The 3,631-nt window shown below is 50.7% G+C and overlaps 1 long non-coding RNA gene across 1 annotated transcript; it reads left to right on the top strand.

The window, feature by feature from the left end:
* Positions 1 to 442: 442 nt before the first annotated feature.
* On the top strand, positions 443 to 2,962 carry LINC03078 (long intergenic non-protein coding RNA 3078). The gene is made up of 2 exons (NR_186343.1): positions 443 to 607; positions 2,443 to 2,962. It is a non-coding gene; the product is annotated as a long intergenic non-protein coding RNA 3078 (long non-coding RNA).
* Positions 2,963 to 3,631: the final 669 nt, after the last annotated feature.

Raw genomic sequence — 3,631 nt, 5'->3', positions numbered from 1 at the left:
TGTGACAGCTCTGTGTATCTGTATGTGTACATGTGTCTCAGTTTCAATGAATCTGAGTATATATGTGTGTGTGTCTGTATATGTGAGTGTTTGCCTCTATGTCTGTATATATGTGTATATGTGTTTGCCTGTATGTCTGTATATATGTGTGTCTGTGTTTGTGTCATGTCTGTGTGTATGTGTGTGTGCATCTCTGTGTGTGTCTCTGTGTGTGTCTCTGTGTGTGTATATGTGTGTGTGTGTGGACAAGTGTGGAAGGAGAGCCATATCTGAAGAAGGCAAATGGCCTCAGCAGGTCCTAAGGACCAAACACACACAGAAGGGAAGGGGAAGCAGGAACCAGAAGGCAGGACTGAGAGGGGAGGGGACAGAGAAGCATCCTGGGCAGAGTCCCGCCCCTGCCCCTGGCCCTAGGAAGTGCTCCTGCCCTGAGAGAAGGCTCAGCACAGAGGGAGGAAAGACAGCAGAACTGGCAGTCACAGTAGCTCTGATCATCCTGGAGCTAAGCTCCTCTCCACAGAAGAGAAGCAGGCAGCAGAGACCATGAGGCCCCCCTCAGCCCCTCCCCGCAGAGGATGCATCCCCTGGCAGGGGCTCCTGCTCACAGGTGAGGGAGGACTCCCTGGGAGAGGGTGGGAGGAGGAAGCACAGAGACTGGCTGGTGTCTCCTGGGGAGGACGGAGCTTTGAGAGGGGATAGAAGGCTTCTGTTGAAGCCTGAATAGGGGAGAGGACATCAGAGAGGGACAGGAGTCACAGCAGGAAAATTACATTGAACTGGAATTGGAAAGGGGCAGGAAAACCTCAATTGCTCCGTGTTTCTAAGGCAGTAATCAGTGGCCACTAAATATTGAAAAATGATAAGGAAAGCAACCATTTATGTCACCATGGCACTGCAGAAAACAAACCTTCCCAGGGACTCCTGGGAAACCCCCTGCCTGGTCTGAGACCCGCTCTGAGGAAGCAGAGGGTAGGCTTGGGCCCAAGAGAGGCCGACCATGCCACAGGTGGGGGCAAAGGGGTGCTCCGGGGGAACTTACAGCCCAGGCAGGCTTGGGTAGCAGCAACGCAAGGAAGGCCCCCTACGTGCTCTGCACGCCTCTCTGGCATTTGATATCATGAAAAGAAAAGGAGAGGGAGAAAAGGGAGAGAAAAGGAAAAGAACATTCTTGGCATGTGGAGCCATCTATCGCTTTCTTAGTCCGTTTACTCTCTACTTAAAGGAAGCCTCTCCCTGCTACAATCTGGGTAACATCCATAAGAGGCGGGGATGTCCTGGGCAGCAGCAGCCATCTGGGGTCCTGAGTGTTCTCTCCCTTGGCCACCTCCTCCACCTCACTTCAAGGTCCCTGTTCAGAACACATTTCCACAACAGCACAAACGCTGTCCTCACCTGCCTACCTCAGACATTGGCAAATAAACTAATGTTTCTCATGGTTTAACACCATCTTCCTTGGTGCTGTCATTATGATAGTGAGTTCTCATGAGATCCAGTTTTCTGAAAGTGTGTAGGAAAGCATGTGGTAGAAAAGAAAAGCCCATGTTCAGGGGAGGAATTCAAGCAGGCTGCAGAAATTTGCATAAGTAAAGGGAGCGAAGTGCTAATAGCCAAAACAATAAGGAGAAGGCCTTAAAGGCATTTCAGAGACCTTTGCAGCAGCCCTTCCCATCACAGGACCAGAGGCCTAGGAGGACAGAATAAATTTTGGGCCAGGCCCAGGGCTCTGCTGCCCTGTGCAGCCTCAGGACACTGCTCACTGCATCCCAGCTGCTCTAGTCATGGCTCAAAAGGGTCAAGGTACAGCTCGGCCTGTTGCTTCAGAAGGTACATGTCATAAAGCTTGGCAGCTTCCATGTGGTGGTAACCCTGCAGGTGCACAAAGTGCAACAGTTTAGGCTTGGGAGCCTACATTTCAGAGGATATATAGAAAAGCCTGAATGTCCAGGCAGAAGCCTGCTACAAGGGCAGTGCCCTCATGAAGAACCTCTACTAGGGCAGTATAGAAGCAAAATGTGGGGTAAGTGTCTCCACACAGTTTTCACTGGGCCAGGAGCTGGGAGAAGATACCCACCATCCTCAAGACCCTGGAATGGAAGAGCCACTGGCAGCTTGCACACTGCACCTGGAAAAGCCATAGGCACGCAATGCCGGCCCATGAGAGTAGCCATGAGGGTTGAGCCCTGCAAAGCCACAGGAGTAGAGCTTCTCAGGGCCTTGGGAGTCTAACCCTTGCATCAGTGTGCCCTAAATGTGAGATATGGGGTCAAAGGAGATTATTTTGGAGCTTTAGTTTTAAAGACTGTGCTGCTGGGTGTCAGACTTGCATGGGGCCTGTATCTTATTTCTTTTGGCTTATTTCTACCTTTTGGAATTGGAGTATTTACCCAATGCCTAAATCCCCATTGTATCTTGGAAGTAAATAACTTGTTTCTGATTTCACAGGCTCATGGGCAAAAGGGACTTGCCTTGTCTCAGAAGAGACTTGGGACTTTGGACTTTACTGGTAATGCTGGAAAGAGGTAATGGACTGTTGGAAAACCATTGTTACATTTTGAAATGTGAGAAATGTCAGGCCTCTGAGCCCAAGCCAAGCCATCGCATCCCCTGTGACTTGCATGTATATGCCCAGATGGCCTGAAGTAACTGAAGAATCACAAAAGAAGTGAAAAGGCCCTGCCCCGCCTTATCTGATGACATTCCACCATTGTGATTTGTTCTTGCCCCACCTTAACTGAGTGATTAACCCTGTGAATTTCCTTTTCCTGGCTCAGAAGCTCCCCCACTGAGCACCTTGTGACCCCCGCCCCTGCCCACCAGAGAACAACCCCCTTTGACTGTAATTTTCCATTACCTTCCCAAATCCTACAAAACGGCCCCACCCCTATCTCCCTTTGCTGACTCTCTTTTCGGACTCAGCCCACCTGCACCCAGGTGAAATAAACAACCATGTTGCTCACACAAAGCCTGTTTGGTGGTCTCTTCACATGGACGCGCATGAAATTTGGTGCCATGACTCGGATCGGGGGACCTCCCTTGGGAGATCAATCCCCTGTCCTCCTGTTCTTTGCTCCGTGAGAAAGATCCACCTACAACCTCAGGTCCTCAGACCGACCAGCCCAAGGAACATCTCACCAATTTTAAATCAGGTAAGCGGTCTCTTCTTACTCTCTTCTCCAACCTCTCTCACTGTCCCTCAACCACTTTCTCCTTTCCACTCTTCAATCTCTCCCTTCTCTTAATTTCAATTCCTTTCATTTTCTGGGAGAGACAAAGGAGACATGTTTTATCCGTGGACCCAAAACTCCGGCGCCGGTCACAGACTGGGAAGGCAGCTTTCCCTTGGTGTTTAATCATTGCAGGGACGCCTCTCTGATTATTCACCCACGTTTCAAAGGTGTCAGACCACGCAGGGACGCCTGTCTTGGTCCTTCACCCTTAGCGGCAAGTCCCGCTTTTCTGGGGAAGGGGCAAGTACCCCAACCCCTTCTCTCCTTGTCTCTACCCCTTCTCTGCTTTTCTGGGGAAGGGGCAAGTACCCCAACCCTTCTCTCCTTGTCTCTACCCCTTCTCTGCTTTTCCGGGGGTGGGGCAAGTACCCCAACCCCTTCTCTCCTTCTCTCCACCCCTTCTC

This window comes from Homo sapiens, chromosome 19 (genome assembly GCF_000001405.40).
Source record: "Homo sapiens chromosome 19, GRCh38.p14 Primary Assembly".
Classification (NCBI taxonomy): domain Eukaryota; kingdom Metazoa; phylum Chordata; class Mammalia; order Primates; family Hominidae; genus Homo; species Homo sapiens.
Note: the sequence above shows the minus strand (reverse complement) of the source record. Positions and strands in the feature narration are given on the sequence as shown.